At 39.4% G+C, this 14,683-nt stretch overlaps 1 protein-coding gene and 1 long non-coding RNA gene across 20 annotated transcripts in view, besides 1 other annotated feature; one reads left to right on the forward strand and one right to left on the reverse strand.

Annotated features, from left to right (window-relative positions):
* ERAP1 (endoplasmic reticulum aminopeptidase 1) overlaps positions 1–14,683 on the reverse strand; it is a 175,042-nt gene that overhangs the window by 17,312 nt on the left and 143,047 nt on the right. For 17 of the 19 annotated variants that reach the window (XM_047417310.1, XM_047417309.1, XM_047417308.1 and 14 more), the window contains 11 exons: positions 13,937–14,068; positions 12,388–12,519; positions 12,172–12,243; positions 10,407–10,561; positions 8,346–8,425; positions 7,664–7,847; positions 5,800–5,956; positions 4,927–5,111; positions 3,569–3,730; positions 2,934–3,074; positions 2,299–2,380 (listed from right to left, as the gene is read on the reverse strand). In XM_047417310.1, the coding sequence (XP_047273266.1) occupies positions 2,299–2,380; positions 2,934–3,074; positions 3,569–3,730; positions 4,927–5,111; positions 5,800–5,956; positions 7,664–7,847; positions 8,346–8,425; positions 10,407–10,561; positions 12,172–12,243; positions 12,388–12,519; positions 13,937–14,068 (1,482 nt within the window). Of the gene's footprint in view, positions 1–2,298; positions 2,381–2,933; positions 3,075–3,568; positions 3,731–4,926; positions 5,112–5,799; positions 5,957–7,663; positions 7,848–8,345; positions 8,426–10,406; positions 10,562–12,171; positions 12,244–12,387; positions 12,520–13,936; positions 14,069–14,683 lie in introns of those variants that run through there. The other 2 variants (XM_047417312.1, XM_047417311.1) reach the window with 1 other exon arrangement.
* Positions 2,248–3,447: an enhancer, noted in NCBI's record as "CDK7 strongly-dependent group 2 enhancer chr5:96116076-96117275 (GRCh37/hg19 assembly coordinates)". NCBI's record gives its function as "activates an origin of replication core promoter dependent on BRD2, BRD4, P300/CBP, MED14 and CDK7 cofactors, with strong dependence on CDK7, by STARR-seq in HCT116 cells {active_cell/tissue: HCT116}" and the evidence as "EXISTENCE:reporter gene assay evidence [ECO:0000049][PMID:35650434]".
* Positions 5,956–8,982, forward strand: LOC124901031 (uncharacterized). The gene is made up of 2 exons (XR_007058877.1): positions 5,956–6,944; positions 7,261–8,982. It is a non-coding gene; the product is annotated as an uncharacterized LOC124901031 (long non-coding RNA).

A 14,683-nucleotide genomic window follows, 5' to 3' on the forward strand; every position in this document is an offset into this window, starting at 1 on the left:
GTTCACCAATATTTACTCTGATATTTATTCATCCCTCTGCTGTAATTACTGTGCTAGACACTGAGGATGCAGCAGTGAATCAGGCAAGCATCCTCCCCTCATGGAGCTTACAGTCTTTTGGGGTATACAAGCAGTAAATATGATTACTGTAAATAAACTGCTATGAAGAAAATATGCCAGGGGTATGCTAGTAACTGAGGAGATGTGGCCTGCATTGAACAGCATGGTTTTGGGGAAGGTGATCTGAGCCGAGACCTCTCAAAGATAAAATGCCCCTTTCTAGTGAAAAGTTGGGGAATGGGCAAGCCAGGCAGAGAGAATAAAAAGTGCAGAGGCTTAAAGACAGGAGAAACATGTGGTAGCCCAGGAGCAGAAGGAGGCTGAGTGGCTACAGTGTTATGAGAGAGTAAGCCAGGAGCGCCTGTGGGAATTGGCACCAGAGAGGTCCTCAGAAGCCAGGTCTTCAAGGTCATGGACACATGGGAAGGAGGGATTTGGAATTTACTGCAAGAACAATAGGCAGGGTTTCAAGAAGCCAGGGTCAGTTATGGGCTGACTTGCAGTCTTCAATGTGGAAAATGTTTTGCTATTGGCAAAGTGGCAAGGGGGAGGCCAGTTAGGACACTATTGCAATAGGCAAGGCAAGAGATGAGAAAGGATTGAATGGGGGTAAGAGCAGAGAGAAGTGCGCAAGATCCAGTGCATGTGCTGAGGGAAGACCGGCAGGACTTGCGTAGTTAGATGTCTGGGGAAGAAAGGATTCAGGATGACTCCCGTATTTTATATGTCCGTAGTTTGCTCTCCATTATGATAACATCTCGGGCTCTTTACTTTTCATGCCCTGCTTCAGGATCTTCGCACCTGATATTTCCTCTGCACACAATACTCCTCTAGATGTTGGCATTTCCTTCGATATCTTCTCAAATGTCTCCTAATCATCCTATAAAACAGCACCAACCCTCTATCCCAATCACTCTCCTTGCCTTATTCATCTTCAGAGCATGTAACTACTTGACATTGGTTGATTTGTCTGTAATTGTCTGATTCCCACAGCAGAAATTTCAGCTCCGTGACAGCAAAGGTTTTGTCTGTCTGTTCACTGTTACAGCCCCATAACCTAAAACCATGTGTGGCATATATGTCTTGAATGAATTAATGAGAATACAAGTGAATGAATGAAATGCTTTGTTGCTATAGATCTTGTCTATAGATGACTACCTTTCTGGTCAAGGCTTTGGACATCTCTTCAGTCATCAGACAGAGTATCTCTGCTCTAGACCTCGCTGGAGTTCAAGCTTGAATTATTATATGCAAGTTAATTTTACAAGCCTGGATGAGGCTACTGAAAACTGGAAAAAAGCTACGAGACTGTAACAACCCTTCATTCTTTTTCATTTCCAAAGCTCTCTCCCCATCTCAAGCTAGAAAATAGTGTAACCAGACTACACAATGGAACCACTCCTAAAAAAATTAATATTAGCCTCTCAGCTTTTATCTAAATGTACCACAGTTTAAGAGCCTTGTAAAATTTGTTCCACAACTTTACTATAGGAAACCTTATTATAGAAGGGACACCACAGAACTCAATGGCCCACACATCAAAGTCCTCGAGTTTAGGACTGAAGAAAAGTCTGCTTTTGTAGAAAATGTGTATGCTTCATGTTCTCTTTTACCAGACAATGAGAATAACTCATACTGATTCCTCATTTTTCCTTGACTTCCAGGAATGTCTGTGATAAATTCAGGGGACAATTGCGAGAATTATCCTCAGCCATAAGTCCCTCACATGGTTATCACCTGTCCATTATGTATCTTTTTGTCCTTCATTTTAACATTTCTTTTATACATGGATCTTAAAGCTGCCTGAAATTCTTTCTGAAGGTAGATGGTTACATAATAAGTGACAGGGAACCATGAACTTGGATGGTTTATAAAGAACCTAGATTCCGGACCTGCCTCTTTAGCAACAGCTGGATGACCACTTCAGTCATTTATACCTCAGTGCCCACTTTTAACATCCTTAAACAAGGACTAATTGTCTCAAGTAATTTTCTTCAAGTCCTAAGGTTTTTACTGGCAGAGCTAAGACCTCTTAACGTGTCTGAGAAGAGGCACAGTTTTCACTAGTTTAATTGCAACTGATTTATGCTGCTGTCAACACCATAGCATCCAAAAATAACTTCTAAATGACAATCCATTTCTAACTCACCACACCCTCAAAGTATTTTGTCTACCCCATATTAATTAGCTAATTTTCATTTATGTTTAAAAATATATATATAGATTTTTTTTTTTTACCTCTTCAAGCCGTGTTCTTGTGGAGAATTGATTTGTTGTACCCATTACCATGTGGGCTATGGAAGATGAGCCAAGTTCAAACCTAGAGAGGGAAATATTCAAAAACGGGTTGTGAAATACTTATTCATTTAACATATATTTTAAGGGCCTCCTATATATAATAGCTTTCAGCTAAAAACTGATCGGTGTGAAAAATACAAAATATGATGTCTATCCAATGGGTTAAGATCTAGCTGTAAAGAATAATACACACCAACAGCCTAATAAAAGGTTAAGTATCCAACAGAAAATGACAGAAGCAGGAAATGCTATAAGAGTTAGACAAAGACAGATGTGAACAAGCAAATGTGTTCATGGAAGGCCTGGGCTGAACTGTGAGGAGGAAGGCTTCAGATATGTCCATGGGCTCAGGAAGGGGTTATGCCAGATGGAATGGAAAACATCCCTGTCCAGATTCACTAGTTAGCACTGAAGTCCAGTTTTATGTTTTCTACAAATATTTTAGGTATTTCTACTGCCTATCTTCAATCAAAAAGTACCTTTAGACTGTTACTGTTCTTTTACAAACAGCAAGGCTAAAACACAGTAAGGTTATGAACTTATCCAGTCACAGCACAATTTTTGGCACCACTTACTTTTGTACAAGTTTGTTCCAGTTTTTCCTCAGAAATTGCCAGGCCAGTGGGTATCCTACTGGGTTCCTGCCAATGAGTGTAAGAATTTGTGGAAACTCCTGAGTTTTTATTTTATCTCCCTTAAAGCTTTCATCTAGTAGCCTAGAAGGATTAAGAAAAGAAATGTTAGCAATGAATAGGTGATGAAACAGTTATGAATCACTGCAATAAAATTACTTGTAAAAGAAAAAAAAGTCTGCCAGTAACAAAGGTTAAAAAGATAAATGGGTAACCACAATCCTGATAAACCCACTATAGCTACATAATAAAAACTAACATTTATATAGTGTTCATAACACCCATTCTCATATACCCTCTCATTTGCTCAAAAGAATAGTTAAGGAAGAGTAGCTCTAGTAAATATTTTTAATATGTTGTCATTTTAAAGATGCACAAATGTATACACCTTTAAATATTTTTCCTAACACCTGGTTCTCCCTAATTATTTGCCTTTCTCATTAGATGTGTGCTGACTTGCAGTATGTTCCCAGCAGGATAGGCAATTCCTGGCCAAGAAAACAAAAATAGATGCCAGAATGATCTAATCTAATCTAATTTCCCTTGGCCACATGAACATGAATGAATGACGGACTCACCATTGAAGCTTTTCCTTATTTTGGGTTCTGCAGAGGGCAAATTCAATTTGGCTTTTCTCAGTACTGGACAAAGAAAACTGATATTTACTATAAAGAAAATCCCAGCCTTCTGTGCTCTGGGCCCCCACAGCAAACACTGCCAAGGTCACGTCGACAGGCAGGCTATAGAAAGGAACACACTCGGTGAGAATCTGAGGTGCAGTAAGTATGTTTAGAGGCATAATGGTGACTAACTATGAACTGCTGAACTTTCCCCATGATCAGAGAAGCATGCCTGGAAATATAAACAAAAACTACTGATTTCCTTCAGTTACAATTTTTTTTTTTTTTTTTTTTAGGACGGAGTCTTGCTCTGTCACCCAGGCTGGAGTGCCGTGGCTCGATATCGGTTCCTGCAAGCTCCGCCCTCCCGGGTTCACGCCATTCTCCTACCTCAGCCTCCCGAGTAGCTGGGACTACAGGCGCCCGCCACCATGCCCGGCTCATTTTTTGTATTTTAGTAGAGACGGGGTTTCACCGTCTTAGCCAGGATGGTCTTGATCCCCTGACCTCGTGATCCACCCACCTCAGCCTCCCAAAGTGCTGGGATTACAGGCGTGAGCCACCGCGCCTGGCCTAGTTACACTTTATAAAAAAAAGGCAAGAGAAAAATATCTAAAATTAGGTTTTAAGTAGCCTTCTCAAAAATGTGAAATGCCATTTTTATAAATACCTACATATTTAAATACTTTAATGATGCTGGGTGACTCCATAGGGGATCACCTTTCAAGCCAAAAGAAATTCAAACTATATTCAAAATTTACACCATGATCACAAGTCAGGACGGCAGTAGGACCACTGTTTGGATTTCTTTAAGCTGAAGCATGTAGGTTGTTGGCATAAATGTTTCCTGGGTGGGGTTTAAGCTCCAAATGTAAAAAGGACTGAAGTGTAGCAAGAATAGGGATTTCCAGATACGGTAAAATCCTACCTTGCTTAGACAGTGTCAGCAATTACTATGCATCCCTGTCAGGGAATTTGGAAGCCCAAAGAAACTACTATAAAATACAATGCATGTGTTTCTCTATGGCATGGCTGTCACCGTTTAATAAGATTTTGCATTGCCTATACAAAATGAGAATTATTCCCATACCATCCTAACTCCCCAGATATTTGACTTTTATGCATAGAAGTTCCCTCCTAGCATTTCTTAAAGTTACGAGATACATAGATAAATCTTAAAAAGCAATTTATTTTCCAGAAAAGGGCAGCAGGGGAGACACTTAAACTTTTTGTTTTCCCTAATGTTTAGTACCAATGATGGAAAACAGAAAAGATGCCCTTCACATCAACAAATTGGTTATTTAGTAAGGACTGACCTCAAGTTTCCATTGGATTCCTTCCACTTTCTGAAATAGCCTTCTGCCCTCTGTACGCACGGCTGATAGTTGTGCACACAGGCGAGGAGTAGTAGTTGACTCCGCAGCATTCGCTCTGAGACTGAGCCCTCGTCTGTCCATGTCTGCTTATCAATGAGGTCCCTTAGCAGCCTGATGAGGAAGGCCTGAGGGCGTTGTACAGGGAAACAGGGACCAGTATTGTCACAGGTCATTTCATGTTAATATAATCCATTATGGTCTCAGATGATGGGGGCTAATTTTTAAAGCATAATCTAACTTTTACTGTATAAATCATGCAGCACTGTTTAATTATAAAAGGGCCAAAAACAATAAATAATGATGAATGACTTTCATATTTTCATAACAAACTTTTATAAGATATCCATCTACTTAAAGTCAGGATGAATTGCGACTTTTAAAACAAACTCAAAGAGAGTTTACATGACTAAATTTTGAGAGCAAATTATGCAACAAGACTTCAGGACATTTTGCCAAGCATAACAATTTTGTGCCTCTTCCTCAAGTACCATGAAGAGTCCCAGAAAATCTGAACGTCAGCCATTGTAATAGGAAAGGAAAATGAAATAAAAGGTTTGTGAAAGGAAGGAAATAACAAATCCATGCAAATTAAATAGAGTCTAAGAATGCCATTCCTATTTTTAGTGCCAAATAAAACCAAAATCTTGCTAGTCCATCTAAATACTGAACTAATATTTATTTGCTTTTCCTTAATATGTATATAAAGATACACACACACACACACACACACACACACACACACACATACACACACAATGATTAACACTTTTTAACACAAATAATAATTACATAACTTTTATTTCAGGCTTTTACCTTGAATTGAGTTTCCACTTCATTCATATCTCTTTTCTCCATTAACTTATACATAGGAATCAGCTCATTCAAACCTTGAAACACGGGCATAATTTCAGTTTCATGTTTCAAGTACAGGGATAAATCCAAGGCCTTTTCAATGGACAGCTTCCCAATGCTGACCAAGAGACACTGTGGTTAGTGGTTTAAAAGTAAATCCGGGAAGTCAACTTTTTGCTTCAAAATATATTTTAATCTTCTAGCAAAACAAGCAATCAGATATAAATGTCCCTTATAAATAGATAACTACGGCCGGGCGCGGTGGCTCATGCCTGTAATCCCAGCACTTTAGGAGGCCAAGGCAGGTGGATCACCTGAGGTCGGGAGTTCAAGACCAGCCTGGCCAACATGGTGAAACCCCGTCTCTACTAAAAATACATAAAATAGGCAGGCATGGTGGCAGGTACTTGGTATGTGGGAGGCTGAGGCCGGAGAATCACTTGAACCCGGGAGGCAGAGGCGGTGAGCTGAGATGGCACCACTGCACTCCAGCCTGGGCGACAGAGTGAGACTCCATCTCCAAAAAATAAATAAACAAACAGATAGATAACTACTATATAAGTCTCTTTTCTATCACATATAACACAACATCCGGCATGTTTACACTAGGGAGGAAGTTTCTCAAACAGTAACGTCTAGGGCTAACGTGGATAAGCCGGAAAGGAAGCACATCAGCATCTATCCCTGTGAAACACTGGATTGAGTGGTGAACTTCTAGAGTAAGCAAGGGATTTCCATCAAAGACCCTTTAGGAAGCCTGGTCAAACAGACTATCATCTGGTCAAAACCATGAGTTCCTGGAGGAAACACATTTTCTTCTCCATTTCAAAGACACTGCATATCCTTAGAAACCCTTCATTACAGAGGGTTAGTGTTAAAAACCTCAGTGGTAGGGTATATATTATATAAGTTAAAAAATAAAAAAGAAGAAGCCCTCTAAGGCTCAAGCAGAAATATTCTACAGAGGGGAATTTTTTAGGCAGAAAGAAACAGCTAGGTAAGCAACCCATAACTTTCTCCCCCATTGCTTTTTCTCACTTCAGGAGGCCCAGTATGGTGGTGAGAAGAACCAGAAGGCACTCAAAATTTAGGCCAGAAGGATACGGGTATGAGGAGAAAGAGATAATCCTTCCCACCTGCATGCTTCCTCTTAGGACTTTAGGTCTGCCTACATGTTGAAGAAGTTTGAGTTTTAGGCTTTGGGAGCATTTCCTTAAAAACCATTGTCATGGGGGAGGAAAAAAAAAGGGTAGTGTTAATTCTGTCTTCACACACTCAGAGATCATTTGGTTGGGCTACATTTTATGAGCTATATTCCATAAAGATGCTGCAAAGTTCAGGTATCTGGTTTAGGAAAGAAAAAAAAATCCCTTCTTTAACCCAAGAAATGTAATGCAAACAACTTGGGCCTGTGTCACTTAGTCTTCTAAGAAGACTTCAAGGCTGTTATAAAGACCCAGTGGTGGGAGAAACCTGATCCGGTATAGCGGGGCCAGAAGAAGCTGCGGGACCATGCCGCGGGGACAAGGCAAGGAGTTTCGCCAGGATGTTGATCTCCTGGTTATCTACACTTCCGCCTCAGTATGATCTGAATTATTAATGAGAAAGATTAAGATACAGATTCCTTCCTTCAAGTGCCTTAGTAGTCACAGACAGGAGGTTAATTATAAGACTAAAAGCAATCTTGGGTTGTTAGAAGAACTTAAAGGAAAACACCTTTCAACTTCTTGTTATCAATCAATCATTTTTGTCTTTAGAAATCAAGAATTTGAACAATAACAGCTGCTTTCAGAAATAAACCGCGACTTTGTGCAGCGTGTATTACCTGACGAGCTGAAATGCATTGTTAATGAGACTCGCCCGATCATTACTGCTGACTGCTGTGTGTGTTCCTTTTAAAAGGCCAGTCAAAGAGTCCCATCCATCATCCTCGTAATGCACAATGTAATAGCCATTCATGCCCACATTAAATTTGATCCATTCCACCTCTTCTGGGAGGATGAGCACATCTAGAGTAAATAAAATAAATCAAAGTTCCATTTGCTCCCCTGCCTGAAGAAAGCTTTTCTCATCCAAGATTGGGCAAGGAAATTAGAGAAGAGTTTAATACTGAAAAATTTGAAAACATCACTTATTTCTCTCAGAAACCAGAAAACAGCAACTCAATAGACAAAAGCTAACACTAGCTTTAGACATCAATTTTGTGAGATTTACAGATCTATGAAAAGAATGGCAACTACATCTCTGGCCATACATATGATATAACCCAGTAATGTTAACAAAGTAATAGTGAATGTTCACTGGTAATCCCTCCTTTTTAGCATTATATAATTCAGCTATAATCTCTATCTGGCAAGATATTGGCCATTCTTCTTTGAAACCAGAAAGCATTTTCAATCTGATCCCTTTTGCTTTAACCAAGATAAATAGCAAAAGAAACAGCACTTTAATCCTACACATTTTCACATTCCTCCTTGAATTAACTAGTAGTTTCCAAAATAAATTACCTGTTTTTGTTTTTAGCAAAAATCGATGGACCATGTCGGATTTGCTGGTGATGAATGTCAATGGAACATGCCACAGGTACCTAAAATAAAGGAGAGGTGGATTGTTCATTTGTTGATTCAATTCAACAAGCAGTTATTAAATCACCTATCATGTGCCAGGCACTGGTTAGTTTAGAACAAGATAGTACCAAAACTGCTACAGCCAAGCTCTCAAAACATCCCCAGTCTGTTTTCCAGCTTTGTAGGGAGTGTCAGCTCGGGCACTATTTCCTTTTCTTGGACTCCTTGAGTAGAGCTAAGAATTTGGACTCACGTGAACCCTGAAAGCCTTTTTACAGTGATTGGCTGATTGCATCTCAGAGGCCTAACTTCAGGACTCATGTGCCTCCTGAATAGTATATTAGGAAGGACACAATATCACCTCCTTGGGATTCCTGTCAATGATATGTAAGCTGAACCTGATCATGGAGAAACAGCAGAAAATCCAAACTGAAAGGCATTCTATAAAATAACTGGCCAGTACTCTTCAAAAAATGTCAATATCGAGAAGCCCAAAAAAGACTGAAGAGTTGTTTCAGAAAAAAATGGAGACCAAAATGATGCAACAACTAAATAAAATAAGTGATCCTGTATTAAATCCTAAGTCAGAATTTATTTTCTATTTTGCTATAAGGATATTTTTAGGACAATTGGAAAAAGTTGAATGGGATTTATAGATAATAGTATTATATAAAGTTTATTTCCCAATTTTGATAATTGTACTGTGGCTATGGTTATATAACTGAATGTTCTTGTTTTTTGTTTGTTTGTTTTGAGATGGAGTTTCGCTCTTGTTGTCCAGGCTGGAGTGCAGTGGTGCGATCTCGGCTCACTGCAACCTCCACCTCCTGGGTACAAGCGATTCTCCTGCCTCACCCTCCTGAGTAGCTGGGACTACAGGCGCCCGCCACCATGCCCGGCTAATTTTTGTATTTTTAGTAGAGATGGTGTTTCACCATGTTGGCCAGGCTGGTCTCGAACTCCTAACCTCAGGTGATCCTCCTGCCTCGGCTTCCCAAAGTCCTGGTATTAAAGGCATGAGCCACTGTGACCGGCCATAAATGTTGTTTTGTAGAAAATACTATGCTGAAACATTTAGGTGTGAAGGGGAATCATGTCACCAATTTACTGTCAAACAGTTCAGAAAAACATATGCCAAGTATATACATACAGACATATGTATATAGGTATGTATGTAGATAGATGGATATCGATTAATCAAGATTTAAAACCTCCTTAATCCTTTTGGGAAGATGGGGGAGGGAGGTGTATATATTATATATATATATGTGTGTGTATATATATACACATATATATGTATATATACACACACACATATATCCACACAAACATATACATATATATATAGAGAGAGAGAGAGAGCAAGAGAGAGAGGGAGGTGAAGAAAGTAAAGGAGTAAAGAGTTAACATGTATCTAGGTAAAGGATATATAGGAATTTGTTGTGTTATTCTTGTAACTTCTCTATAAGTCTGAAATTGTTTCAAGATAAAAGAATTTTTTAACGGTATCCATCCAGGGTCAATCAAGTTGCAGCATCTTGTTTCTAATAATATTCTTCTATAGCATTAAGCTGACAAACAGGTTCCAAATCTAACTCAGAAGAAGACAACTGAGTCTCTCATCATTCTCGGAAATCACCTAAATTCTTTTGTCCTCAGCTCCAACCAAATGCTAGGCACTATTGTAATCTAGTAGCAGTTGCTTAGGTTGGAGTTGATTTCAAGCCAGTAACCAGAAATTACCATCATATCAAATTACAAAATATGAGAATGTTAAAGTAATTACATCGTCACCTTTACTGAGAATAACCAAGGTTTAAAGCCTCCTTAATCCTACTGGGAAGATGGGGGCAGGGAGTATAAGTCAACTTCATAGGATACACAGATGCAGCTGAAATATTTTAGCAATAGTGGTAAGGGCATTATTTCAAAAGCAAGGTTCCATCCTACAAGGCAGATGTTACCTAGACAACAAAACAAATTTTACTCTAGGAGCATTACCCAGTGTCCGGGGCGCCGTCAGAGCCCTTCATGTAGTGCTCTTGCTTCATGTGTACATTCCTCCCCCTCACTGTGATGGTTATTAGGGGAAAACCCTTCTGCAGTGTCCAAGTGTTCATCATGGTTTTCACATCCACCCCTTCCTGATGCCAATGCTGGTGTGTACACAAAAAGGCAGACACATCACCCATTTAACCCAACTCTAAGAAAAGAGAGAACACCAGCTTATGCTCAAACAGCCGCTACCAGTTGCCAACCTCCCCTCTTAGGAGCACTTTCTGATCCCTTTCTCAGTGTGATGTCCCCAGCCATCACACCTCCATTAGAGCACCAGCTGTTTGCTTGTCATTTTCCTCCACTACACATACGTGTCTGGAGGACAGGTAGCATACCTAGTTCTGCCGGGCACACTTTGGGGCTGGCAATAACACTGGGCACAAAGCAGGCATGTGAATGAATGAAGGAAGAGAAGGGAGAGAAAGTGCCAGGTTTTCAATACCTACCTAACTATGCTGGTTTTGGACAAGCAAGGTGGAAACAATGTTCAGTCAAGAGCCTGTGTTTCTAAAGTGAGAACACAGAGATGACCCACACTCAACAAATAGTGGGAACTCAAAAGGAGCTGTTTTTTGATACTAAAAAAGCTTTTAAGAAATGATTTAAGAAGTAGTAAAGGCTGGGCGCGGTGGCTCATGCCTGTAATCCTAGCACTTTCGGAGTCTGAGTTGGGTGGATCACCTGAGGTCAGGAGTTCAAGACCAGCCTGGCGAACATGGTGAAACCTCATCTCTACTAAGAATACAAAAATTAACCGGGTGTAGTGGCGTGTGCCTGTAATCCCGGCTACCTGGGAGGCTGAGGCAAGAGAATCGCTGGAACCGGGGAGGCAGAGGCTACAGTGAGCCGAGATCACGCCACTGCACTCCAGCCTGGGCAACAGAGTGAGACTCTGTCTCAAAAAAAAAAGAATTAGTAAAAAGATAAAATGTGCCACAGGACAAATCTAGAAACTACTGAATAAAGCAGTCTCTAGGAACAAAAAAGCCAAGAAAGTAAACATATAAAAAGAAAAAAGAAACAAAAAATTCTGTTGTATCTCCAGACTCACCCTCAGCTTCCTCTGAAAACATCCCACAAGTCCAGATGAACAGAGACTCAGGCTGTTTTGTGACTTGATGTTATGAATACTTTATAGCTTAGCAGTTAAAAACATGAGTTAGATCTAAATTCAGATCTCTGCTCTGCAATTTACCAATCAGATGTCTTTGTATTTCATGTTCTCAACTTTAAAAATAGGGATAGTAATAGTACCCAGCTCACAGGTTTATTATGAAGAGTAAAGGAGATAATACATATAAGTGCTTAACATGTGCCTGACACATGACAAGTATTCAAGAATGCTCAGTGCCATTGTCTTTGTACAAATGCAGAGCTCTGTAAATGACTGACATATCCTTTTGACTGCTACAATGCAGCTGTAATCTGCTATAGAAACATGTCATAAATCCACTGCTTTAAAAGGGAAGCTAGAGAAATTAGTATCAGTGAGAAGCATTACCAAGGAAAGCTCTGCAACCCTCCAGTATAGATACACTTTAAGAAAAATTGAAAAAGATTATGAGTATGGAATAGTTTAAATGCAGTCTTATCTGGAATGAGGGTGATATAATCAAGGACCTCAGAAAGTTTGGCACAGAGCTGCCTTTCAAAGAATATGCAGTAAAAGAATGTGCTTGGGGGAACATGTACAGATATAGAAACTTACTGAGGATGAAGATGAATGTTGACTTCTAGAGCAAAAGCCATCCATCCCTTTTACACCATCTGTAGGGCAAATCTAAAAACCAAAAATAAACACATCACTCTTATTTCTATAGAAAACAATGATTCTCCTCAGAGGGATTAACATAATGCAGGGAAAACAAAACAAGATGATAAGCCTGTCAATCCCAAATGCAGAGATATTCAAAAACATACTCACACTTGCCATACTATCCCACAGGTCCTCGTTTTTTGTATTTTTATAGCTATGCTTCTGGAGATACTGTACAATACCACTTTTAAATGCGTCAGCACTAAGATACTCCCTTAGCATATTCAGAATACAAGCTCCCTGAAAAGATAATAGAAATAATTGTTATCTATAGTTTCATTGCAGTCTCATCTGAAATCACATATTCTTTTGCAATAAAACACATTTCTTTGAAAACGCAACTGCAGGAACACTGTTAATGTCTGGCAATTTGTGAAACAGAGTAAGCAGGTTAAACCTGGACCTGTTTAGGCAGGAGATTTGTCTAATGTGATTGCTTATGCTCTGAGCCCACTGAGGCCCTTATTTTCTATCAGTAGCCAGACCTCCCGATGGGGCAAATTAGCATCATCTGCCAACTCCCTTTGTTCACATGTGAGTGGGGATAATGGTGCAGATTAAACATTGGACCTTGAGCTACTACCTGGCTCTCCCACTGCCATTCCAGGGCAGGACTAAGGAGAGGCCAGTACAACAAGGGGTGGAGCACTAGAGATGGAGGCAGAGGTAGATGCCAGGGAAGGAAAAGTGGATATGTCCAGGGAGCCCAGGCAGCCTTGAGCATGGAGGGCTGATGGAGCTGGAGTCACAATGAGAAAGGGAACAAGAGTCTTCCCAGACACCCTGTATTCCTTGGTAAAGGGCTCTTTTCCCCTCCACTCCCATTACCACGGATGGTGAGTCACAAACTCAAATGCCTCCAGTGGCACATGACAGGGCATATAAATAAGGGAAGTAGTCCAAGGATAAGAAGAATGCTCTTTTACATTCTTTTTCCCCTGGACTTTCAATGGAAACATGCAAGCAAGAAAGACTTTTCTGTTTGCTACCGGTAAAACAACAGCCAAGCACAATGGTAACTGGCAACACACTCTCAGCCTCGGTGAGAAGACAATAGAACAGTTGGGAATGGCAGGGAAAGTGGAAAAGCAGAGCCTTGATCTTACAAAGAGAGAACAACAACTTAGCTCCAGCTTATGCTGCAAAGAACATACAGTGGCCAAATCCTCCTTTTTCTTCCCCAAGAGAAGCTAGAAATCTGGATTTTACATAAAATCTCCCAATCATTAAACTGTTGTCAACAATTCCCAACTCTGTTACTAAGCACACTGTGCAAGACAATTATTTGCGTCTCAACAATATTAACCATTGCTGAAGGCCTTGAAAAGTAAGCTACACGAGGGCAGGAATTTTTGTCTAGTACAAAGTTGATGCTCAATCAATACCTATTTGTTGAATGATGAATAAAAGCAGAGTTTCTGTAAGCCATGAATTTTCAACCCAAGAAAGAATATATGAAGAATTTCCCATAAAATAATCTTTAGGGTTATGAGCCAAACTGCAAGTTAGTCCTAAAAGAGTTGACTCCAGCCAGCACGTGTCAAGAGAGAAGGCATTCAATCTGGGTTTAACCCCACAACCTTGCCTATAACTTCTCCACCCCAGTATGTATAACTTTAGTATCTAAACTGTATCCTTATACTCAATCTACTTTTACCTTATCATAAGAAACATCATCAAACATCTCCCGGATCTGAGCAGGATTTTCCACAGGTGTAGACACAGGGTGTGAGGAATTTAAAGCATCTACCTCCATTGCGTCAAAACATTTGCCAAAGAAATAATCTCCCTATTGAGATAGAAAAAAGAAAACATCACCTATGATTTACATTTAGATAAAAAATGTCAAAGGTGGGACATTTTATCTGAGGCAAGAAGTCCATACTTCACATTTTGGGGGCAACCTATTCCATATTTCCTAATATTTATGAAACAAAATAGAATTAATATATTCTAAAAGCTACCCAAGAAACAATGATTTTAGTTAAACATTATAGATTTTGTTCATCTTAAGTCCTTTAGAATAAAGAAAATTTCGTATTAATCTAAAAACGAAACAATTATGCCTATAGCCAAACAGCAACACAACAAGAAATTAACTGTATAGTAATTTCAACATTTCCAATCATTGTCTGTACTGTTTTAGAGCAAAGATACTTACCTTTAAAAACATAATGAAAATAAATGGAGAACCTTAACCAGCTTTATTAGAGCACATTAGCTCAACAGGACAATATGTATCCATAATCATTTTTATTACTAAAGATCATGTAGAAACATAAGAAAATATTTAGGATTATAATGCAATATTGATGTGTACTTTCTAATTATGTACACAGGCAGATGAAAATAGGCAGTAATAAATATTCACAAATGTATATTTTAAATAATGTATACAGGCAGA

Source organism: Homo sapiens, chromosome 5 (genome assembly GCF_000001405.40).
Source record: "Homo sapiens chromosome 5, GRCh38.p14 Primary Assembly".
Taxonomy (NCBI): Eukaryota; Metazoa; Chordata; class Mammalia; order Primates; family Hominidae; genus Homo; species Homo sapiens.